The sequence below is a fragment of the Homo sapiens genome, chromosome 1 (genome assembly GCF_000001405.40).
Source record: "Homo sapiens chromosome 1, GRCh38.p14 Primary Assembly".
Classification (NCBI taxonomy): Eukaryota; Metazoa; Chordata; class Mammalia; order Primates; family Hominidae; genus Homo; species Homo sapiens.
This window is the reverse complement of record NC_000001.11, coordinates 236,940,371-236,965,444: the sequence shown is the minus strand read 5'-3', so window position 1 is coordinate 236,965,444 and position 25,074 is coordinate 236,940,371. Positions and strand designations below refer to the sequence as shown.

The following is a 25,074-nucleotide window of genomic DNA, read 5'->3' as shown; positions in this document are numbered from 1 at the left end:
GAAAATAGATTCATTAGCAATTCTTCCAGAAAAGTGCTGTGAGTGATAAACTCTAAGCCTGTGTATGTCTGAAAATGTCTTCGTTAGATTCCCCATTCTTGAAAGAGGGTTTAATTGTATATAGATTTCCCAATCACAGCTATTTGACCTAATATTTTGATGAGTTATTTTATCCCAGCACTGATTTCTGGTACTCTTTGTTGCTCATGGAAGTCGACGGGCAGCCTGACATTCTTTTTACAATAACCTGTCTTTTCTCCCTGGTAGCTTCTTAGATTTTTCTCTCTATCCCTGACACTCTGCGGTTCTGCTATAATGTTTCTCCATGTGTAGAGATGGGTTCATTTGTATTTATCTTGCTAGATGCCTGGTGTGCATTTTCAGGTTGAGGGTTTAAAGGTTCACATCTTTCACAGTTCAGTGAAATTCTTCTAACTATTGATTCTCTGCTATTCTCTACTTCTGTAACCCCTATTAAGCATATAGTGGAGCCTATCAACCTGTCTTCTCAATGTTATTGTCTATGAGCTGTGTTCTGGGTCATTTTCTTGGTAGTATAATCTAATTCATAAATTCTGTCTTCAATTGTAGGCAGTTTCACCATGGATTTACCCAGTCTATGTTTTTATTATTATTTCAATAACCCTATTTGTCCTATCTGTAGTGTATCATTGGGATTTGGGACACGGGATTCAGGATTTGGGATCTGGGAGTTAGGACAGGAGTTCTTCATTATTATTATTTTTTAAATCTCTGTGATTCATTCATTCAACAATATTTATTATGTATCTACAAAATGCCAAACACTATTCTGTGTTCTGGGGTCTCAGCAGTAATAAAATACACACGCATATGTTCTCCTGACATAAAATGAGTAATTCAGTAAAATATTTAACTAAAACATAGAGTGCATCAGTTAATGGTAAGTGCTGTGGAAAAGAATACCCCAGAGGAGGAGAACAGAGAGTGAGGATTTGTCTTGCTGATGAGGAGAAAGGAAGTCTGTGTGACTCTGGCTTTTTCATGGGGATCAAGATCACTGGGGATAAAAGGCATAGCGAGCTTCAGAGCTGGCAATGGGAAGATGAGAACTGTGGAGAGGGCAGGAGGAGAGGGGAGTGGGGATCTTACCAGGGGCGTACAGGACTCTGGGCTTCCCTCTTCACTTCTGCTGATGGAGAGGCAGAGACCAATGGAAGCAAGAAATCAGGGTCAAGTGGGCCAGGGGTCACTGTGCTCTCAGGCAGAGGAATCAGAGCTCCCATGCCTTTTTTTTCCTTTTTTTCTTTATAGATGGGGTCTTACTATGTTGCCCAGGGTGGACTCCAACTCCTGTGCTCAAGTGACCCTCCCACCTCAGCCTCCTGAGTAGCTGGGACCGCAGGTGTCTGCCACCACACCCAACTTCCCATGCCTTTTTGACTCTTGTTTTTTGGCTCATGATTTCTTATGCTTGCTTTATAGGTGTTATTACCACCTTTATCTCTGAGGAATCAAATATACTTCATTTAAGTTCAATTCAGGCTTTGCTCTATTATTTGAAGTGCTTCAAGAATTAATTTTCCTACTTGTTCAGTTTGTTGGCTACTTTTCATTATATTTGTTTGTTGTGCTTTAGAATTTTAATATACAGACTCATCTTCAGTAGGAGAGAGAGAGAGGGCAAGAGAGAGAGAGAGAGAGAGAGAGAGAGTGTTTCTCCACCTGTTCTCACGTCTGCTTATTCTTAACTGCATTCACCCAAAGCAGCAGGCTCTCTGGTTCAAAACAAGGCTTATATGTAGGCTCTCTTGTTTTTGGCAGTATTGCAGACCCAGTGTAACAGGGGGCTTGAGCCAGCAGTTCACTCTATGTTGTCTCAGGTCCCTGTGCTACCTCCAAGACACAGCTTGATGCAGGACAGGTCACTCCAGAGACATCACAGCTTCCAGTTATTTGAAGAATTGAACTCCAGGCTACTTCTGCTAAATGACAGATTCAGAGCCTGGATCCTAGAGTCCACAGGCTTAGTTCCACCTACCTCTGTGTGTTTGAGATCACAAAGGCATTTTTTATGTATCATATTTGGGTCATCATTTATATATTTGTAATATTGCTGCTGTGGTTTGGATATGATTTATTTGTCCCCACCAAAACTCATGTTGAAATTCGCTCCCCTGATGTGGTGGTATTGGAGGGTGGAGCCTAGTGAGGGGTATTTGGGTCATGGGGGCAGATCCCTCATGAATGACTTGGTGCCATTCTCATGCTAGCAAGTTCTTGCTCTGGCGAGACTGGATTGGTTCCAGCAGAAATTGATTAGTTCCTGCAAGAGTGGGTTGTTGTAAAGCCACGATGCCCCTCAGGTTGTGTTTCTTTGCATGTGTTCTTTGCATGCTTCCCCTTTGACTTTCTCCACCATGTTCTGATGCAAACTGAAAGTTTCACCAGAAGCCAGGCCATGCCCTTGAATTTCCCAGTCTGCAGAAACATGAGCCAAATAAACCTCTTCTCTTTACAAAATTACCCAGTCTCAGGTATTCTGTTACAGCAACACAAAACAGATGAAGACAATTGCTTTAATGCTCTGTGTCCTAGTTAACTTTATTAGCAAAGAAACATGAAAAAATATTTGTCTGAAGCATAATGGAAGTACAAGTCTCACTAGAATGATAATTGCCTGCAAGCAGCCATTCAAGGAAGACCTAGCTCTTTCCATCTTGTTGCTCTGCCATTTCCAACCTCCCTGGTAGCTGACTTCTTCTACTCAAGTCCATTGGAAATAATTAACCACACAACTCCACTGAGAGCAACAAGTTTATGCTGTGGAAGACGTGGTGAGCCCTGTCTGCCACTTCTATCTATCCTGATGTGAGCTGGAGCAGATGAGAGAGTTTAACACACAAAATCGCAGCATCTTGACCAGAAAGAGCTGCATTCACCCTTCGCCACCTGGTTTCCACTACTGCTCCATTGAAATGACTAGTTACCCAGATCACCAAAAGTCTCTATCATGCCAGAGCCAAGGGACATTTTTCTGCCCCTGTCTTGCTTAGCTTCACAGTAGCTCTAAATGCAGAGGATCCTTTACTCCTTTAAAAAAAAAAAAAAAAGAGAGAGACACAGAGAGAGAGAGAGGGTCTGCTCTGTCACCCAGGCTGGAGAGCAGTGGTGCAATCATAGCTCATTGTAACCTCAAACTCCTGGGCTTAAGAGATCCTCCACCTCAGTCTCCTGAGTAGCTGGGACTACAGGAGTGCACCACTATGCCCAACGAATTAAAAAAAATTTTTTTTGTAGCTACCGGGTCTCACTATGTTGCCCAGGCTGTTCTTAAACTTCTGGCCTCAAGTGATCCTCCCACCTCAGCCTCCAAAAGTGCTGGGATTGCAGGCATGAGTCACTGCACCCTGCCCCTTTTCTCCTTGAAACACTGTTCTTTCAGCTTCTGTGAAGTTCTAGTCTGGGTTTTTTCCCCCTACTTTATTGGCAGCCCTTGCTGCAGTAGGTGATCCTGTCAAAGATATCTGTCTTTGTTCATTTTGTGTTGCTATAAAGGAATACCTGAGGCTGGGTAATTTATAGAGAAAAGAGGTTTATTTTGCTCCTAGTTCTGCAGGCTGTACAAGAAGCAAGGCTCCAGCATGTGCTTCTGGTGAGGGCTTCAGGAAGCTTCCAATCACGGTGGAAGATGAAAGGGAGCAGGCATCACATGGTGACAGAGGAAGGAAGAGGGCGGAGGTACCAGGCTCTTTTTCACAATATGGTCTCGCAGTATGCACTAGAGCAAGAAGTCATTCATTACCAAGAGGAGGGCACCATGCAGTTCATGAGGGATCCACCCCCATGATTCAAACACCTCCTACCAGGCCCCACCTCCAACATTGGGGATCGAATTTCAACATGAGATTTAGAGAGGGCAAATACCTAAACTTTAGCAATGGCCATATATTAATCCCACGACCCTGTGAATATGTTACCTTATATGGCAAAAGAGACTTTGCAGATGTGATTAAGTTGAGGATCTTGGTAGGGGGGGAGACTATCCTGGTTTAAGTGGATGAGCCCTTAATGTACCCATGAGTCCTTATAAGAGGGAGGCTGAGGGGGATTTGACTTCCAAAGGAAAACGTGATGTTACAACTGAAGCAAGATGCTGTGCTGCTGGCTGTGGAGATGGAGAATAGGACCATGAGCCAGGGAAGGCAGCTCCAGAAGTGAGAAAAGCAAGGCAGCAGCTCTCTCCTGGAGCTCTGCCCACACCTAGGTTTCAACCAGTGAGGCTGATTTTGAACTGCTGACCTCCAGAACTGTAAGAGAATAACTGTGTGTTATTTTAAGCACCATGTTAGTGGTGATGTGTTATAGCGCAATAGGAAATTAATATACTTGCTTAATCACCCCTTGGGCTTCTCTTCCCCTGTAAGACCTGTATTTTTTTGTTGTTTTTATTTTGTTTGTTTGTTTTTGTTTTTGTTTTGAGACAGGATCTCACTCTGTCCCCCAGGCTGGAACGCGTGTCATCATCATGGCTTGACTCACTGCAGCCTCAAACACCTGGGCTGAAGCAATCCTCCTGCCTTCGCGTCTCGTAGCTAGGACAACAGGCACATGTCACTAAATATGGCTCTTTTTTTTTTTAAAGTAGAGATGTGGTCTCCCTTTGTTGCCCAGGCTGGTCTCAAACTCCTGAACTCAAACCATCCTCCCACCTCAGCCTCCCAAAGTGCTGGGATTATAAGCATGAGCCACTGTGCCCAGCCAAGACCTTTCGATTCTGAAATGCTGCAGGGCTCAGCCCTGAGCCAGCATCTCCTTTCTTGCCACAATTCTAGCTACACTCTCCTCCCTGGTGGTCTCGTTCACTCCTATTTCCTTAAATACCATTTACATTTTGATGGTTCCCAAATTCTTCTCCTCAGTCCAGATCATTCCTCTAAGGGCCAAATGGATATACCGAACAGCTTTCTTTACCTCTCCATTTAGGTAGAATACGCAAAAAAGAACTCTTTGCATTCCCAGCTTGCAAACCTGTTCCTCCCTTGTCTTCCCCCCTCAAAAAATGGTACCTCTCTCCATCCAGTGAGTTACTAAAGTCAAACTCTAGGTAATATCTTTGATTCCTCCCTCCCAGCATCCTGCCCACCCCAACACACACCATTTGTATGTCCTGCCAATTCCATGCCCAAAACGTATTCGGACCTCACCCACTCCTTCCACCCCATGGCCACCACCAGGCCCATGCCTCCATTATCCATTATCTCTCACTGATGCAATAAGTTCCTGTTGCTACCCTTTTTCTTGTTTTTGAGACAGGGTCTTGCTCTGTCTCCCAGACTGGTGTGCAGTGGCACTCTCATAGCTTCCTGCAGCCTCAAACTCCTGGGCTCAAGCAATCCCTCCACCTTAGGCCCTGAGTAGCTGGGACTATAGGCATGAGCCACCGTACTCAGCATCCTGTTGCTATTCTTGCCCTCAAACTCTCAGTTTGTCACACACTATCCAGAGTGATCTTTTAAAAGTACAAATCAAGGCTGGGCATGGTGGCTCACACCTGTAATCCCAGCACTTTGGGAGGTCAAGGAAGGCAGATCACTTGAGGCCAGGAGTTTGTGACCAGCCTGGGCAATGTGGTGAAATCCCATCTCTAAAAAAAATTAAAAATTAGCTGGATGCAGCCAGGTACAGTGGCTCATGCCTGTAATCCCAGCACTTTGGGAGGCCAAGGTGGGCAGAGGTGGGCCGAGGTCAGGAGTTCAAGACCAGCCTGGCCAACATGGTGAAACCCCATCTCTACTAAAAATACAAAAAATTAGCCGGGCGTGGTGGTGCACACCTGAAGTCCCAGCTACTCAGGAGGCTGAGGTAGAAGAATCGCTTGAACCCGGGAGATGGAGGTTGCAGTGAGCCGAGATCACACCACTGCACTCCAGCCTGGGCGACACAGCAAGACTCCGTCTCAAAAAAAAAAAGGAAAAAAAAATTAGCTGGATGCGATGGTGAACATCTGTAGTCCCAGCTACTCCAGAGGCTGAAGTGGGAGGAATACTTAAGCCCAGGAGGTGGAGGCTGCAGTGAGCTATGACTGTACCACTGCACTTAGAAACCCTGTCTCAAAAAATAAATAAATAAATAAATAAATAAATAAATAAATAAATAAATAATAAAAATTCAAATCAAATTATGGCCTCACTGCTTTAAAACCCTCCTTGGCTTCCCTTTGTGCTCAGAGTGAAATGAAATTTCCCACCCTGTTCTCCAGAGTCCTGTGCAGTCTGGCCTCTCCATCAGCTCTGGCTCATCTTTTGCTACCCCTGCCCTTGCTCCAGGTTCTCTGAGACTAGGATTGTTTCTAGAATGTTCCAGGCTCTTCCTCCACCTGTCGTTCCTGACGCTCTCTTGCCCAGACTGTGCATGGCTGGCTCCAGTGCTTTCTTCCCTCATGGCGTCCTGAATGTCCCCTCCTCAGAGACACCTCCCCAACCACTCTCAGGAACTCTGTTTCTCCACATCCTGTGCACCTCCTTCCTAGAATTGATCACAATCCTGATTTTTCCTTATTGTCTGATTCTTTATCTGCAATGAAAGTTCTATAAGAGCAGAGAGCAAATTCGCCTTCTCCACAGCTTATTCTCAGTCCCTGGTGCAGAAGATGCCCCTTTCTCCACATGAAAATGATTGAATGGATCAATACTTGGCCCCTCGGACCCCTCACTACCAGCTGACAGAGGGCTGCCAAATCTTGAGCTTGGGGAATATTAGGTCCTTTCAGAAAAACCTGGCATTGCGTTGTAAAGTGATCCTGCGTAAGTCACTTTACCTCTCTCGTTTTCTATTTTTTTCCCCACAGGATGCTCTTTACCTAACTCAAAGACCCAAAAATGGGTGTGTTGCCTACCTGTGAAGCAGGCCAAGATGTAAATAGAATCTCATGCTCTTGAACCCAAGATGTTTGTTTGCAGGCACTTCCTGTGCAATGACTATATTCTTTCTAGAATCCGATTTAAGAAAGCTCCCAGAAGGGTCCCGTTCTCCTGCCATCTGTGATCCTAACTGCCCAAGCTGGAGCTATGGAGAAGGAAACCAGCGCTATTACCGGAGCCCAGAGCTGTTTGTTCTCCAATATTTCCACCCCTGAATTCCCTTGTCAAAGAGCTCAGTGTTGAGATCCTTCCTGGTTCATTTGGAATGAAATGGTCTGATGCTGTTGACTTCTTACACATGTCACAGGAAATGACCAAACAAGTTGATGCATCTTCTGCCAAGAGCTCTTGGGTGAAAATCGTACGTACTTAGAGAAAGGACCGTGGGTTGCATACAAGGCCATATGAGTGGCTCGTCACTGAGCACAGAGGAAAGGCAAGAAACCCACATCTGAGTGTGACAAAGCACATCGTACCCCCCTTTAAATGGAATGGATTGCCTTATTTTTTTTTATTTTTTATTTTTTTTGAGAAGTAGTCTTGCTCTGTTGCGAGGCTGAAGTGCAGTGGCGTGATCTCACTGCAACCTCCATCTCCCAGGTTCAAGCGATTCTCCTGCTTCAGCCTCCCGAGTAGCTGGGACTACAGGTGCGCACCAACATGCCCAGCTAATTTTTGTATTGTTAGTAGAGACGAGGTTTCATCATGTTGGCCACGATGGTCTTGATCTCTTGACCTCGTGATCTGTCCGCCTCGGCCTCCCAAAGTGATAGGATTACAGGCGTGAGCCACTGCACCCAGCCGGATTGCCTTTTCTACAGAAAATGCATTTACAAGCCCAGGAGATCTTCACCATGGGTGAGATATGCTTGAAGGACACAGTATTAGAAAATGCCATTTGACAAAATTTTAATACAAAGAAAGGTATTTTTCTTTTCTCTTTTGTTCCCTCTTTCTTTCAGCAATGCCTATTAGTGGCATAATCCTGCAGGTATTTATGCCTGGGTTCAGAACAATCACCAGAGTTGAGATCTGTATGGAACAAAGACCTTCAAGCATGTGGAAGAGGATCAGCCCAGCTGAGGGCCAGCAGCAGGACCGCAGGCCAGGACGCAGGTTCTGCTCTGACGTTTGGCCTGCCAGTGTGCCCTCTGCTGTTTTGAATATCAATTGGTTCTTATGTAGGTTTCACTGCCTGGTTTATGGATAAACTAGGAATTCTTACAACCCAGGATAGATGAGCTCTTCAATCTAAAAAGTAGGGCTCTTGGATCGTGGATTTCAAGTTTCTATGAACTGAACCCGATGCATGAGCTCCCTGCACTCATGGAGACATGATTTCCAGTTTTGGACATTTTCCTACCCATCTTCCCATACCAAAGCCTCTGTCTCGAAGCAGTAACCTGTTTCCTGAGACTTGCGAATTGGTGAGCCACTTCCAAATGGTGGGGGAGAGATGGAGCTAACATGTGAGATTTGGATGCTGAGAACAGGGACTCTCTTCCCTGGAAGATTTCTTGAGAAAATAAACATAATTTGAAATCCTGCTCAAAATTAGCTCCGCTATGTTATCTTGGGATTATCAATTCATTTAGTTAAGCAAACTCTCTCCAGGGACAGTGAGTTACGTCTTTGTGTGAGTTACGCTGCTCACTCAGCCATGCCTTCATTCAATACGTATTTACTACTCTATCGGGTAGAGATCCATAAGTAGATCGTGCCACGTCCTCAGGGAATGGGGAGGCTTGGTTTGGGCTTCCCAAAAGGCCTGGACACAGTGGGGATTTTGGACCAAACACTAGATGGCATGAAAGCAACAGGCAATGGAAAGGCTGGGCGCCGCGGCTCACGCCTGTAATCCCAACACTTTGGGAGGCTGAGGCGAGTGGATCACCTGAGGTCAGGAGTTCAAGACCAGCCTGACCAACATGGTGAAACCCTGTCTCTACTAAAAATACAAAAATTAGCCAAGCGTTGTGTTGCATGCCTGTAATCCCAGCTCCTCAGGAGGCTGAGGCATGAGAATTGCTTGAACCTGGGAGGCAGAGGTTGCAGTGAGCTGAGAGCGTGCCACCACACTCCAGCCTGGGCGACAGAGCGAGACTCCGTCTCAAAAACAGGCAATGGAGAGAAAGGAAGAAACAGGAGAAGAGGTAAAAAGAAGAGGTAATTGGCCCTTCTCCGAAAGTCCCGGCAGCTACTCTGCCAGTGAATGGCATTTCTGAGTTTATTCCGATTTGCTGAAGCTACTTTGATGTAGGTAAGCTGCCTGGTTTATAGATAAATCAAAAACTTAGGAATCTTGGATGAGGTTTTCAGGTCTACAAGTAGAGTCTTTGGATCATTTATGTATTTCAAGTTCCTAGGAACTGAACACAAGACATGAACCACCCTTCTATGAAAGTTCCCTGAAGGCAGAGACCAATTCAACAACACATATTGAGAACTGGGTCCATTTCTCTTCAAATATTCTTTTTTTGAACTTTTAAGTTCAGGGATACATGCACATGTTTGTTACATAGCTAAACTTGTGTCATGGGGGTTTGTTGTACAGAGTATTTCATCACCCAGGTATTAAGCCTAGTACTCATTAGTTGTTTTTCCTGATCCTCTACTGCCTCCCACTCTCCACCCTCCGATAGGCCCCAGTGTGTGTTGTTCCCCTGTATGTGTCCATGTGTTCTCATCATTTAGCTCCCACTTACAAGTGAGAACATGCAGTATTTGGTTTACTATTCCTGTGTTAGTTCGCTAAGGATAATGGCCTCCAGCTCCTTCTGTATTCCCGCAAAAGACACGATCTCATTTTTTGTTATGGCTGCATAGTATTTCATGGTGTATATGTACCACATTTTCTTTATCCAGCCTGCCATGGATGGACATTTAGGTTGATTCCATGTTTTTGCTCTTGTGAATAGAAAATATTCTTTAAAAAATACCCTCAGCCCTTCTCATGGCCTCCAGTGCCCATGTGATCTGGCCCCTGCTCCCTTGCTGACCGCATGTCAATCATTCGCCTTGCTCCCTAATTTCCACACACCATGGTTTTTCTATTCCTTGAACAAAACCAAATTTTCACTCACTCCAAAACATTTTTCTTGTCATTTTCCCCTGCCTTGAACCTTCTTCCCCAGATTTTGATAATTCTATTTCTTCCTCATTCAGATCTCATCCAAATGTCACTTCTTAGAGTTTTGCTTCTGGAAATGGTTCTCACACTCAGAACAACTAGAAAGCCTAGTGAAATATAACTATATCCATTTAGAGGCATCAGAGAGATACCCAATCAGTGAGGAAAACAGGTGTGAGAGAGAACGGAGGCCCAGAGATGATCCTGGAGTTAGGGACCACTTTTCCCCACAGGCAGATGCAAATTCTGAAAGTGGAAGCTGAGAGACTGAAAAGCTGAATAGAGTTCTCCACAAATCAAGGAACTGCGGGTTTCAGAGACTGCTGAGTAGGAGGGATCCTAGTAAATACCCTAACCTATCAAGTACCTGGAAGTAAGTGTGAACCAATAGATTAGCCCTCACAGGGCCTGAAGCCCAGCTTCAAATAATCTATCTATCCTTGGCTGAATTAATGTGACCTGAAATTGCTAGTGTTTCTAGCCTAGATGCTGGCCAGATGCAAAAGTGCACCCTCTCTAGAAGAATATAACAGCATTCGGAGCCTCAAATTATCTATTTTAATATATATTATCTGATACCTATCAAGACATAATCAGTCATAAAGGAAGATAAGATATGACCAAACAAAGAGACAATAGGAAAAGCAGACCCATAAGGATTTCAGATAATAAACAGACACAAACTTTAAAACAACCATGATTAATATGTTTAAGAATATAAAATTTTTGATGAATAACTGGAAATTATGCTTATAAAGTATAAAAAGTAAACCAAATGGAAATTCTAATATGGATAAATATTATGAATGAAATTAACATATTGGATAGGTTTAACATCAGATTAGACACAGCTGAAAAGAGAATTAGTAAACTTAGAAGCTAGGTCAGAAAAAATATATCTAAGATGAAACAAACAAGCAAAAAGATGATAAATATCAAAAACCAAGAGATAAATAGGACATTGTGAAATGTTCTAACATAGTTGTAACTGGTGTCCCAAATGACAGGAGAAAGAGAACGGGGCAAAAGTAATACTTAAAGATATATTACTTACCTGATGAGAATCAATGGCTTGCCTGTGTATGTGCATGAATGCAACAGCTGAAGACTTTAGAAATAGGAGCTTGATGACATAATTTCCCTACCAGATTTATATTCCTATTCGAAGCCTGCCCCAGCTCCTTCAATGTGTGTGACCATGGTTACCACACCCACCCAGGGCCTCGCCCACCCAGGGCCTCCCTCCCATCCTTTTCTTGGTCTGTGATGTTTGCTGTAGCACCAATGACTACTAGTGCTATTCACCAAAAATTTTGGTCCTCTTTCCAAGTACGGTGGGGATTTCACTTCCTTATCCCCTGGAAGTCAGGATGGTCAAGTGCCTTGCTTTGGCAATAAAATGCAACAGCTATATGTGCCCATTTTGGGTGGAAGCTTTAACACTCAGTGTTCAATATAAATTAAGGTATGTTCTTGTCCTTCTGCCTCAGTGTCACAACAGAGCCTCCATCAGCCTAGTTACTGGATGATCATAAGACGCCAAGAGATGGAGCTTCCAGCTAATCTGTGAGGCCTGTTAACATGCATAAGAAATGAACTTGGGTTGTTTTAACTTGTGTCATACTTGTTGTCACACTATGACACAACCTATCCAGACACATGTCCCTTTGACTTGCTTTTTCAGTCTCCTTGTCACCATTCACCTCCTATTTCAATCCAAACTCCAGGAGACCTTTGCTATCTTGCTTTCTTTTGGGCAGCAGAATCTTCCTTTCCCTTTAGAATCTTTTCTATATCTGTTCTTGTGTCCTATTCCTCTTTGCTGAAGGTGGTGATGCCCTTTATTCCCAAGAATGTCCCTTTTATCTGTTTCCTTTGTTCCAGACAGCTGGCAGCTTTACACAGCCATGAAAGTCTTTTCAGCAAATGACTAAAAAGCATGTCCTAGGGAAACATCTACCTCCCTCATCTCTCTGACTATGTGAATCCCAGCCTTCCCTGATTTCATCAGTACAGGTCTGATTGCCACTGCAGGCAGATGGAGAAGCTTCCCCAGGTCTTGTCTGGCAAGACTGCAGCTAGTTATGGATTCTGGGCCATCACCTAGCAGGCTGCTGGCAAGCTGTAAATGGAAACAAACAAACAACAGTCTTTGGCTTATAGCTTGAGATCTTTATGAAGACTAAGAAAGCAATCCTTATTACGATGGCCTGGATGTGTGGTGAGCCTCGTTTTCTGTGAACAAGGACAGAGGATGGAGCAAAACATTTCACCTATTTTATAATGCACAAAATCAACTGCATGTATGTGTATATCGATATGAAAGGGCATTCCTCACGAATTAGCAAGATAAGATTATTGCGTATTTGTAACTTTTTTAGTTCTAAAAGCTCCAGCAGTCTCTGAATGCAAATGTCTATGTTGTCAAAATATCTGCACACACACACACACACACACACAAACCTATTTTCTACAAGTAAGGGGGTAATGAAAGGTTTCTGTCTTTTCCAGGCAAAGAATGAGTCATGGATATCATTTGAAGAAGTCCAGTCTCTACAGGGAACAGGTGGAGTTCCTGACACCCTCCCTTGCAAGCAGCTCATACCTGCTGGGCTCACCTGTCTGTTTTCTGCCAACAACATATTCCATATTCTAGCAACGAGTCTGAATTACCCAAGGCAGGAGGCCTGTTCTTTTTGCAGAAAGCTAAAAAGCTCATTTCTCTTTTTCTTCCCCACAAAAACACAGCCGGTCGTTTATCTCTCTACAACTCGCCACAGCTGGAGCAGAGACTGACTTCATGGCTCGGAGAAGTGGCAGCCGTTTCAGGGCTATGCCCTGCTATGGTAGGTATTTTGGAGTTCTTATTTCCTGGGAGCCAAATAATGCCTCTCCCTGTAGTATTCAACAGTTGGCCAGGCTGACGGCTTGAATTCTCCAGGCAGAGCTGAAACAGCTGCCATATAAGGAACTAGTTAAAAAACCCTGGTGTTCCTTAGAGGCAGGAAGGTGAGACTGGCTTATTTCTTTGGAATCCAGAAAGAAGATGAAAATGTGGTCTGTCTACCCAGTGCCAGCCGTGTTCGTGGGCAGAGCAGGTGGCTGTCTGTATGTTGGTATGTGAGGGGTGCCAAGAGGGTCCCCAGCCAAAAATACCCCCCACATCCAACTGGTCTTGAAATGCTAAATCCTTCTTCAGACATCCTTTGCTTTACAGTTTTCTTTCTTTCAGCATCCTCTTTGCAAATGCAAAGAATTTTAGAAGAGGGGAATTATTTATCATTATCTCATTGTTATGGCCTGAATTATGTGCCCCCAAATTCATATGTTGGAATCCTAATCCCCAGGACCTCCAAATGCAACTGTATTTGCAGATAGGGTCTTTGAAGAGGTAATTAAGTTAAAACAAGGCTCTAGGGCAGGTTGCAATTCGATCTGACTGGCGCTTTTATGAGAAGGGGAGATTAGGACACTGCCTCACACAGAGGGAAGACCACGTGAGGACACGGGGAGGAGAGGGCCTCTGCAAGCCCAGGAGAGGGGCCGCAGGAAGACCAACCCTGCCGACAACTTGATCTTGGACTTCAAGCCTCCAGATCTGTCAGAACATACATTTCTGTTGTTAAGTCCCCAACTCTGCTATGTTCTTACAGTGGCCAGCGCAAATGGATACACTTCTTTTTTTTTTTTTGAGATGGAGTTTCACTCTTATCACCCAGGCTGGAGTGCAATGGTGTGATCTCGGCTCACTGCAACCTCCGCCTCCCAGGTTCAAGCGATTCTCCTGCCTCAGCCTCCCCACTAGCTGGCATTACAGGCACCTGCTACCATGCCCAGCTAATTTTCATATTTTCAGTAGAGATGGGTTTTCACCATGTTGGTCAGGCTGGTATCAAACTCCTGACCTCAAGTGATCCACATGCCTCAGCCTCCCAAAGTGCTGGGATTACAGGTGTGAGCCACCTTACCCAGCCTGGATACACTTCTAAATGTAAATTATGTAAATTAGTTTACACATCCTCTGTTCTTTGCCAGCTAATTGAGGTTTGGAGTAGAAATGGGAAATAGGTGAGTCCCAAACAGGAAAAGGTCAGGAGAAGTTTCCCAAAGAATTATAAGGGAGTCTGAGACATGGAAAGGGTGATGGATTGGATTGGAAGAAAGATACAGAGAAAGGGAAGGAGGAAGGTGCTTACATCACTGTGATCTGATGGAAGGGCGATGAATTGGGTTGGATGGAAGACACAGAGAAAGCAAAGGAAGAAGGTCCTTATTATCACTGTGATCTGATGGAAGGGTGATGGATTGGGTTGGAAGGAAGACACAGAGAAAGGGAAGGAGGAAGGTCCTTATTATCACTGTGATCTGATACGGTATAGTCTTACATGCATTCCAATGTGCCGTCAGATTCAGCATAACATTTTATCCTGACAAAAGTGTTTGAAGGAGCTACCCACTCCATTTATAGATGAGGAACCAGAGTCTCAGAAAAGGTGTAAATTGCTCAGGGTTCCCCCAGAACCTAGCCACAAACCCAATGTAGCCCTCCCTAGCCTGTGGGACCTGGACATTGTTAGGAACAAAAGGCCAAACCAACCCCTAATCCACTGGTTTTACACCACAACCTACTGCCTCAATGAGGACGCGCTTTGGGGCCAGGACTGTGTCTTAGTCTCTTTCAGGGCGCTTGCAACAGCTGCTATAGAGCCTTGCCCAGATGAGTAGAATATTTGTTGATTGAACCAATACAACCCCCTCTTTTCTTTCCTGCAAAAGCAAGTTGGATTGATGCAAAGCACACACTAGGATTTATTCCAAATACCCTTCCAACTGCGGCCTGAAGATTACCGGTGACCTGGCCGAATTCCCGAGGTGTTCACTGCTGCCTACCTGGCTAAAATCCTCTTCTGTTATTCAAGAATGAAGGTGGCCAGCCTGGGCAACATGGCAAGACCTTGTCTCAAAAAAACCAAAAACCAAAAAACAAACAAAAAAACCACACAAAAATAAAACAAAACAAAACAAAATATATATATAAACAAAAATAAACAATAAAACAAAAACCAATATAAAACAATAAAACAATAAAACAAAAAAAGTGGCTGCCACCCAAGCTCGTCTGTAACAGAAACTTCTCTTCTCTCTCTCTCTCTCTTTTTTTTTTTTTTTTTTTTTCCATTTCATAAGTTACCACTAAACACGCAGGCTTTTTTGTTTAGTTGGTTTGATATTTTTTTTCTTTTTTTTTTTGAGACAGAGTCTCACTCTGTCACCCAGGCTGGAGTGCAGTGGCACAATCTCGGCTCACTGCAACCTCTGCCTCTCGGGTCCCAGTGATTCTTCTGCCTCAGCCTCCCGAGTAGCTGGAATTAAAGGCATGCACCACCACATCTGGCTAATTTTTTTTTTTTTTTTTTTTGAGATGTGGTTTCGCCATGTTGGCCAAGCTGGTCTCAAACTCCTGGCCTCAAGTGATATGCTCACCTTGGTCTCCCAAAGTACTGGGATTACAGGCATGAGCCACCATGCCCAGCCCTGGTTTTTTGTTTGTTTGTTTGTTTTGTTTTTGAGACAGGTTCTTGCTCTGTCACCCAGCCTGGAGTACAGTGGTGCAAACACAGCTCCCAGCAGCCTCAAGTTCCTGGACTCAAGCAGTCCTCCCAACTCAGCCTCCCAAGTAGCTGGGACTACAGGCATGTGCCACCACCCCAGCTAATTTTTGTATATTTTTGTAGAGATGGGTTTTTACTATATTGCCCAGGCTTGTCTCAAACTTCTGGCCTCAAGTGATCTGCCTGCCTCAGCCTCTCAAAGTGCCGGGATTACAGGCGTGCACCATCGCACCCAGCTTGCAGCAGAAACTTGACGGTGATGCCATGTAAGCTCTTCACACTGTGACAATACCTAAGAGACTTCTTCAATATGGAGCCTGACAGTGACAACCACAGAAGCTATTTACTAAGGACAGGTACCATTCTACAAAAAGAGCAGTATTCAGGTTACCAAAATTATTGAGTTTATTCAAATATACAACATACAAGTATAAATGACAGATGACCACAACATGGTTTTGGAATAAACGCAATCTCTTCTCACTGTCCAGGACTGGCCCAGGTCCTCATTTAGGTACACACACCCAGTTCTGAATTGCTTTCTGGGCTATGCTGTGTCCTCTCTTGTTCCACGAAGCCAGGGCTGGCTTTGTGGGTATGCAGCCTTAAATAGGCCCCATGCTGGGCTTAATGCTCTGCTCCGTCTGTCTTGAAATTCTCAGTACTTTTGGAACCAGGGGCCCCACGTTTACATTTTGCACTGGACTCCACAAATTAGGTCATTGGTTCTGAGAGTGGCCTCGTTCCTTTTCTGCATCAGGGCTACTGTATACATTGCAGGGAATCCTCGGGCTCCCATTGTATGATTAGAAGAGATTTCTCGGTGTGAATAAAAGATGGAGTGGACACAGTTGGATGGAGGATGCCAACCTGAGAGGGGCCTCGTCGTCAAGCAGTGCTGGCAGTTGCTGAATCCCAGGGCTGTAGATAATCTAAAGTCATGCTTGGAGTCACATGGACACCAAGATCTGACCAGAGGCGTGGCAACAGCAACAAGGGGTCCTCAGAAGGCTAAGGCCAGAAGCCAAAAAGTTCTGTCCAAAACTGCTACAAGGACAACAGGCAGCAGGGCTCAGTCCCTGTGGAGCAGGTGCTGGCAGAAATTGGCCAAGGATTTCAGGGACCCAGCAAGCGAGGCTGGGGTTAGGGGCTGGAACTCCATCCCAACTGGGAAATGGAAAGGAAACTGATTGCAGCCAAGAAGTCAGGCCCCTGGCCAATTCTAGCAGATGGAGAAGAGAGGGAAGCTGTTGCTCTGAGCTCCTCCAGGCTCCTGGGGATCTGCTGAGTGAAGGTCTAACATCTCCAGGTTGAACTCACTCTAACGACACGCAGGGAAGACCTGAATTTTTAACAACCGATGCTATGTAACAAGCTGGGAGCAGGGGAAGCCCAGCAAATAGAGCCTAATAGAAGAGGCGAAAGGCTTTATGCTAAATCTGGAATTGTCATCCACAGCATCTCTGTAGCTCTGGCTATATCTGTTCTTACTTGCCGCTGTGTAGTTTAGTCACAATTCTAGAATTTCAGAAGGTATGGCTCATCTTCAATGCTTGTACTGCAATTTCTTCCTCTACTGGAGAAGTGAAAAGTCTCTCTCTCTGCACGCTGTCTCCTCTCTCCTCCCCTTTCTTCCTTTCTCCTCTCTTCCCTTCTTTCTTTCTCTTTCTCTTCCCTGCATTCTCCCTGTCTCCCTCTGAGCCTCCCCCTCTCTGGCTCCCCCGCTTCCTCTTGTTCTTCCTCTCCCTCCCCTCCCCTAGCTCTTGTTGGTGATGAGACCTCTCAGCCTGAGTGCTACTGGAAAGTCTCCCCGTGATTCAGAGGCCTGCGCCCCACAGGGCCTCCTGTGCTTACCACAGCCACCCACCTTGCCAAGAGCAGCTGATTTGAAAACTGCCTGCCTGCCGCCTCACGGGGAATTGCTCTTAATTGTTTGGTTTCCATGCGTGTCGTATATCCACTCCCAACGTAGAGGCTTTGCTTTGGGTAAGAAGAAATGCAAATGGAAGTAGGGGCATTACATCCAGGATTCTTTCTGGAGGTTAGACTAAATGACCTCTTAAGATTCCTGCTAGAATCTGTTATAAATAACTCAAAACCTGATTAAAAATTCTACCTGAAAACTGTCTGAGATCGACAGCACGTAATCCATATAGACACGTGCAAATTGTGAATGAGTCTAGTAAGAGGACCACAGCTAACGTTTATTGAGCACTAACTATGTGCCGGGCACTGCGCTAATTGCACAATCTCATTGAATCCTCATGACAGCCCAGGAGGAATGTTTCTAAATATTTCTGTGTTACAGGTGAGGAAATCTGTAGAGTTTCAGTCAGCGACTTGCCAAGTGACACAGCCAGTAAACAAAAGAGCGGGACTGGATCCCCACTCCATACCCATCTGACAGTCTCAACAGGATGTATTTCAGAAGGAAGTCAGACCCAGGAAAGACCTCATTCCCAGGTGGCTTTGCATGGTGACAAGCTCTTAGACTCAGTTGCGGTACTGGGCCTGAACTAGCTGAGCTAACAGGTTTTTCTCTGCCCCTGACGTTGACAGTTCTGACAGTTCATCCCATTATTTTTATGTCTGCATAGAGTAGTTGCTTCCTGGCCTTCACTGTGTGCTCAGATAGAATATTTCCCTGGATCCTTTGGAAGCGTGCTGCTTAAGATCAACACCTCTGAAGTCAGAGGCAATGGCCCTCACTCTAGAAAGAAGCACCTGGTTCAGGTTGGCCCTCACTCTAGAAAGAACCACCTGGTTCAGGTTAACCCCCACTTTTGCTTCTGTGTGTATCAACCTGGCCTTGCATGGCATCTGCTGCAATGACTCAAACTCTGGAGTATTCTCTTTGGCCAGCTCCGCTTTCTATTTTGTAAATCTGATGAGCCACTAGATTGTGGAATCGGATCTCATTGCCTTTAAGCATACTGCACTTGGTCACTAAATGAGCTTCAGAATAGTGTCAGACCAGGACACAGAAGCATGCACGTGGTGTGCGTGTGTGATCATGAATTCATCATTGCATGTGTGTGCATGTCACATCTTCCCTGTCACCCAGACTACAAACCGTGGCATCATCTTGAGCCTGCTCACCCACACTCACTCACTCACCTGCCCGCATTTCTCCCTCAGTTTCACAGACACTGTCCTTGTTCAGGGTCTCTTGGTCTCCTCTGCCCCAGACAACTCTGCCAGCCTCCTGCCCCATCTGCCCTCATCCAGGCTGTCGCCTCTCTGATCCATCAATCACATTAATGCCAGAATCATCATCCTTGCATAAGACCACTTGCATCACAGGTCCTCTCAGAATTCCACAAGAATGGGACTCCCAAGTTGCTGCTCATGACCATCGCATTCCAAGTCCTGCAAAATCTTTCTCCAAATTTACTCGCCAACCTTATCACCCATTACATGCACCTTAGAGTTCATCCAAACACCGTGTATAGAATCCACATTGATTGAGCCTCTGCTACAGCCGGGGACGCTGCTACCTGCTAGGGAATATTTATAAACAAGGCCCGCAGCACACCAGACCCTCTCAGGACTCCTTGGCCTGGAAGGTCCTGCTCCTTTTCTTCCCTATTAAAATCATTCTCATTTTCCAAGTCAGATGTTTACCTACTGTGACATTGACCTTAATCCCCTTAGAATCCTTTCTTGGAGCCTAAGTCCTTGAGTTTTTGTCCTGATTTTGCTATTAAACTAGTTGTGTGAGTTTGGGGAAATTTTTTAACCTCATGGGGTCTCAGTTTGCTCAGCCTGAAAAATGGCGATAATACAAATACCTCCTCATGTAGTTGTTGAGAGGACAAAATTATTATTATTATTTTATATAAAGCATTTAGGACAGGGTAAAAAATTGTTTCTTTTTTTTTTATTTAGATGGAGTTTTGCTCTTGTTGCCCAGGCTGGAGTGCAATGGCGCGATCTCGGCTCACTGTAACCTCCGCCTCCCGGGTTCAAGCGATTCTCCTGACTCAGCCTCAAGTAGGTGGGATTACAGGTTCCTGCCACCATGCCTGGCTCATTTTTTGTATTTTTAGTAGAGACAGGGTTTCACCGTATTGGTCAGGCTGGTCTTGAACTCCTGACCTCAGGTGATCCGCCCGCCTCGGCCTCCCAAAGTGCTGGGATTATAGGCATGAGCCACCGCACCCAGCCAAAAATTATTTCTAGCACCTTGGCTCCCATGTGTTGCTTATGTATTGCTATTTACATGTAGGCCATTCTGCCTGCTTCCTCTATGCAATTTTTAGTTATTTGAGATAAAGGGTGGTCATTATCTTTGCATCCCAGCATCACTAGCAGAGAGCTTTGATCATAGAAGATGTTTAATAAATGTTGGCTTAGTTGAGTTCAGTTGCTAAATGATCATAGAAATTTTAAGTTCATTTTGCCGATTGCTCTGCCTTCGAATAGGACTTTCCTAATTCTAGGTAGAGGAGATTCTGGTCCCTGGCAACCTATTCCACTTTCTGATATTTCAATCTGAAGGAGACTTTAGAGGTCATTTCATGCAGATATGTCAGTTACCATTTTGTGTGTTGACCTCAATCGATTAATAATGGCTTTCTCAAGTGCTGGGAGTGCTACAATTGATTAGTGATGTCTGGCCCTTGCATGGGCAGGGCAGCTGATAATGTGCAAGTCTTGTATTTGCCATTCCCAATTTAGTCCATTGCTCTCTTTTGAGTATGAGGAAACTAAGTATACAGAAGTTGAGTGACATACTGAAGGCCACACAGTTAGTGGTAGCAGGGTCCAAATGGGAAGTTAGGTGTTCTGAATACAAGTTCAGTATTTTTTAGAGAGATTGGAATTTGGGAGAGAAAAAAGGGGATCCAACTGTGAGTCTATGCCTCATTTGCCTGTAGATGTAACTGCCCATTCTCATCCTTCTGTAGGCTGGGGATTGTGTCTTTGAAGCACAGCACATGAGTGGCAGAAGCCTAGTGGAGGAGTTGCCCCTGCAAACTCAGTGGACCCTCATACCTTCTCCTTCTCTTAGACAGCCTGGCCCAACCTGGACTTGACAGATGGTGCTTGCCCAAGTCACAGGGGTGGCAGGACTGAGTCCTGGGCTGCTTCAGAAGAGGGGATGTCACAAACAAGTTCTGATGAATGTTAAGCTTTTACAAAATAGGATTAGATCCAGGGTGGACTCCACGGGGAAAAACATCCTCTTCTTTATAACGTTGAATTTATTATTTTAATTCAAAACAAAAGCACTGAAAGTGTTTCTCTGGGGGAGTGGAAAAGATTATTCTGCAAGATCCAAAAAAAAAATTATAGAATTCAGAGTTTCCAAAATAAGCTGAAATTTCTGAAGAATCCAGACTACATAACTTGTGTCAACAGAATTTAGACTCTGATTATGTAAGTAGGTAGGGGGAGAAGGGAGGCACCAATTCACACACACACACACAAAAAGAGTAGTAAGAGGCAAAATTCATTAAACACCAGGCATCTGCTCTCGGGAATGATTACTGTTCTAGCTGTAAACTATACAGGCCTGTTGCTGAGTAACATCATGTTACAGCACTTAATACCACTGGATGTCAATTATAAAATAGCACGCTTAGTACACAAACACTGGTATCTAGAATCATAAACTATTACACCTAGGAGGAAATTAAAGATAGCAGCCCAATCCCCTTAATAGGTGTCCACAAATGGTAAAATGACTTACCCAAGGCCACACTGCAAGTTACAGGCAGAGCTCATCCATAATCCCCGGAGTCTTCCTTCAGCAGCTTTCTACTGTCTGATGTAGACATCCTAGCATTACATGTTTTCTCTGAAATTTAGGATAGCCCATCAGAATTAAGGTATCCAAAGCAATTTTACTCATTCCAAAATATCAGTATTTACATCACCCAAGTTAATAGTCCAATCTGTTTTTATCCTTTCCTTTGATACAGCCAGGTAATTTTTATGTACCCATTATTGGGCCCTGGAAACCCTCCTAGCTGCCTTACAGACAAGTGGAGGAAACCAATGCTTGTGAGTTGCATTTTATGTGCCAGGGACTGCCCACACTGTCTCCTAGAAGCTCACAAATTATTTTCAAGAACTCTTTCTTCAAGAAATTCAAGGTCAAGTGGTTAACAAATGGTAGGGCTGGCATGCAAAGCCAGGTCCACCCATCTCCAAATTTCTTGGACAGCTCAAGTGGCCGTAACAAAAACACCATGGACTGAGGTTTTTTTTTTTTTTTTTTTTTTTTTTTTTTGAGACAGTGTCTCAGTCTGTTGCCAGGGTGGAGTGCAGTGGCACAATCTCGGCTCACTGCAACCTCGGCCTCCCAGGTTCAAGCGATTCTCCCGCCTCAGCCTTCCGAGTAGCTGGGACTGCAGGTGGGTGCCACCACACCCAGCTAATTTTTGTATTGTTAGTAGAGACGGGGTTTCACCATGTTGGCCAGGATAGTCTCGATCTCTTGACCTTGTGATCCACCCGCCTCAGCCTCCCAAAGTGCTGGGATTATAGGCATGAGCCACCGTGCCTGGCTGGTTTTTTTGTTTTGTTTTGTTTTGTTTTGTTTTTTGAGACAGGGTCTTGCTCTGTCACCCAGGCAGGAGTGCAGTGGTGCAATCATAGCTCATTGCATCCTCAGACTCCAGGGCTTAAGAGATCCTCCCACCTCAGCTTCTCCAGTAGCTGGGACTACAGATGTGCACCACCGTGCCTGGCTAATTTTTGTATTTTTTGTAGAGGCAGGATCTCACTTTGTTGCCCAGGCTGGTCTTGAACTCCTGGAGTTGAAGAACATTTACTATATTATTTCGGACAAGGAGGGAAGGGTGGGTGGGAGACAAAGCCATGCACAGTTGGTATTCTCATAAGAGACGGATAGCAAGACTCAGAACCCTTGACTCTCATACTCCTGTTTGCTGCAACTCTGCAGTCAAGAGGCATGTGGAAAGTCCATGGCTGCCCTCTCCCCTGAAAAACTGAAAAAAAATCCCCTGAAAAGAATCATGGAGTGGTGGTGAATTTTATGTGTCAACTTGGCTAGGCCACAGTACCCAGGTATTTGGTCAAACACCAGTCTAGATGTTGTTGTGAAGGTATTTTTTATAGGAGATTGATATTCAAATCAGTAGACTTTGAGTAAATCAGATTATTCTCCATAATGTGTGTGGGCCTCATCCAATCAGTTGAAGATCTTAAGAAAAAAAGACTAAGGTTCCCTGAGGAAGAAGGAATTCTGCCTCCAGGTGGCCTTCAGATTTGAGCCACAACATCAACTCCCCTGGGTCTGTAGCCTGCCAGCCTGTCCTGCAAATTTCAGACTTTCAGGCCTCCACAATTCTTGAACTGATTCCCCAACTTATGAAAATACACACACATACACACACACACACACACACACACACACACTATTGATTCTGTTGAACCCCAACTAACTCACATGGGGTAAGCTCCATGAGCAGCTTTAGGTAGAAGCCCCCTCAGTGGTATCCACAGACCCCATGCTGACCTCCTTTTGGCCTCCTTGGTTGGGGTGGGGTATGGAGGCTCAAGGGCCTCTTCCCCACAAGCCAGAGCCTGTCCATACCTGTTTAGAGCACTGGCTGTAATATGGAGCCATCCAAAAGTACAAGGACTGAGGGTTGACAGCCCCTTGACTCTCCCCACCAGAAGTTCTCCCCTTTTGATTGGGGGGTGGGGATCTTACCCAAAGATTCCACTTTATCCCTAACACAAAGAGGTGGGACCTTTGGAAGGTAACTTTGTCACAAGGGTGGAGCTCATGTGAATGGAACTAGTTGCCCTTATAAAAAAGGCTGGAGGGAGCTCCCTGGCCCTGCCCACCACGTGAGGAACAAGTCACCACCTATGAAGCAGAGAATCTGTTGGCACTCTGATCTTGGACTTCCCAGACTCCAGAACCGTGAGCAACAAATTTCTCTTGTTTATAATTTACCCAGCCTAAGGTATTTTTGTTTTAGCAGCCCAAATGGAGTAGTGTGTGCCCACTGGAGAGCAGAGGGGAGAGAATGCAGAGGTCCCTAGAGGTTAGAGTGAATGATCAGCTCACCCCAGGGGATATAACTTAACGCAATCTGCGCTCTTCATACATTTCTGTTTGCCAGGGAGGAACTTCCAGCATCCAGCGTGGGTCCCTAGGGTGAGGTGCCTGGTGCCAAAGAAGTAACCCCCAGCAAGAGTGAGGGACTGAGGAAAAAGAAGGGAGGGGCTATGGCAGGATCTCTGTTCTGTTCATTAGCTCTTTGTTTTGTGGTTGCTTGGTGTTTTTGTCCTTTCCTTTTGTTCTGAAGTAACCTTGGAGTCCTGGGAGTCAGGACTAGACCAAGGTTCCAATCCAAAGCAACTGATTAAATATCTTCATTTCTTTATCTGTGAAATACCACCCATTTTGTTCCCCTCAATTGATTTGAAAGTTCAGTATTTGATTTCTCTTCTTTTCATGGATATCTTTGTAGAATCATTTTTTATCTATATGCACATGTGAAATTGCTGATATCAGACCATTTTTTAATTTACAAAAATGGTAAGTTGATATGGTTCAGCTTGATATAGTTTCTCCTAATGCAAGCCAGGAACTCTAACACACTTTTTATCTCCCTCAGATACACACTTTCCAATACCCACTTCCTCCAGCTTTACCTGTATATCTGTAATATATACATATTATGTGACATTTTCTGCAAATTTAGGTTCACATTTGTAATAAAAGCCTTTTTTAAACAAAGAATATATTTTGCTTACTTTTTCTTACTATTATACCTTGTATAACACTTCTTGCTCTGGGATTCTTGTATCCTCTAACTGGAACACATTCTTTGGTTATTTTTCAGGTAGAGTCTATATACGAGAATATCTTCTAAAGATCTTATATGACTGAAAATGTCTTTACTTCATCCCCACTCTTAAATGTTCATTCGGCTAGATATAGAATTGCATTCACATTTTTTTTCTCAGAACTTGAAAAGCATTCCTCCTGCCTGTTCTGACTTCCAGCTTTGCCAATGAAGGATCTGTTGCTATTGCAAAGTTGTATTTTCTGTTTCCAAGATAACCAAATGGTCTATTTTCAAAGCCACATGTTCTTGTTTCATAACCACCTATTCTTACTTTATGGATATAACACCCTCCTTTATTTCTTTGTGAATTTTAAGTTTGCTTTGCAACAATCCTGTTCTGATCATTCCATTAACTTTGTGCCCTCAGGTGTAAGTTCAGTTTGTTATCTCCTTTTGTGGGGCTTATTTTTTTCAAGCATCTGGTGATTCAAAGTTGCATTCTAATCCCTGTGGTCAAGGCCCTTCAGTTCTTCAGGAGAGGGAGAGCTTGTTCACCACTGCCCCCACCTGCTCCAATGTTAGCAGTAGTAGCGGAAGGACAGTCTGGACCACTGGATAAGGTACACAGGTGCCTCCATGTTCACCGTGGTGTT

The 25,074-nt window shown here is 44.5% G+C and overlaps 2 long non-coding RNA genes across 2 annotated transcripts in view; both read right to left on the bottom strand.

Annotated features, from left to right (window-relative positions):
* The window catches only part of LOC124904563 (uncharacterized), a 39,144-nt gene extending 17,536 nt beyond the window's left edge, over positions 1 to 21,608 (bottom strand). The window contains exon 1 of the long non-coding RNA XR_007066964.1: positions 21,340 to 21,608. This is a non-coding gene — a long non-coding RNA (uncharacterized LOC124904563). The remainder of the gene's footprint in view (positions 1 to 21,339) is intronic.
* LOC124904564 (uncharacterized) lies at positions 16,029 to 18,909 on the bottom strand. The gene is made up of 2 exons (XR_007066965.1): positions 17,512 to 18,909; positions 16,029 to 16,986 (listed from the first exon to the last, which is right to left on the bottom strand). It is a non-coding gene; the product is annotated as an uncharacterized LOC124904564 (long non-coding RNA).
* Positions 21,609 to 25,074: the final 3,466 nt, after the last annotated feature.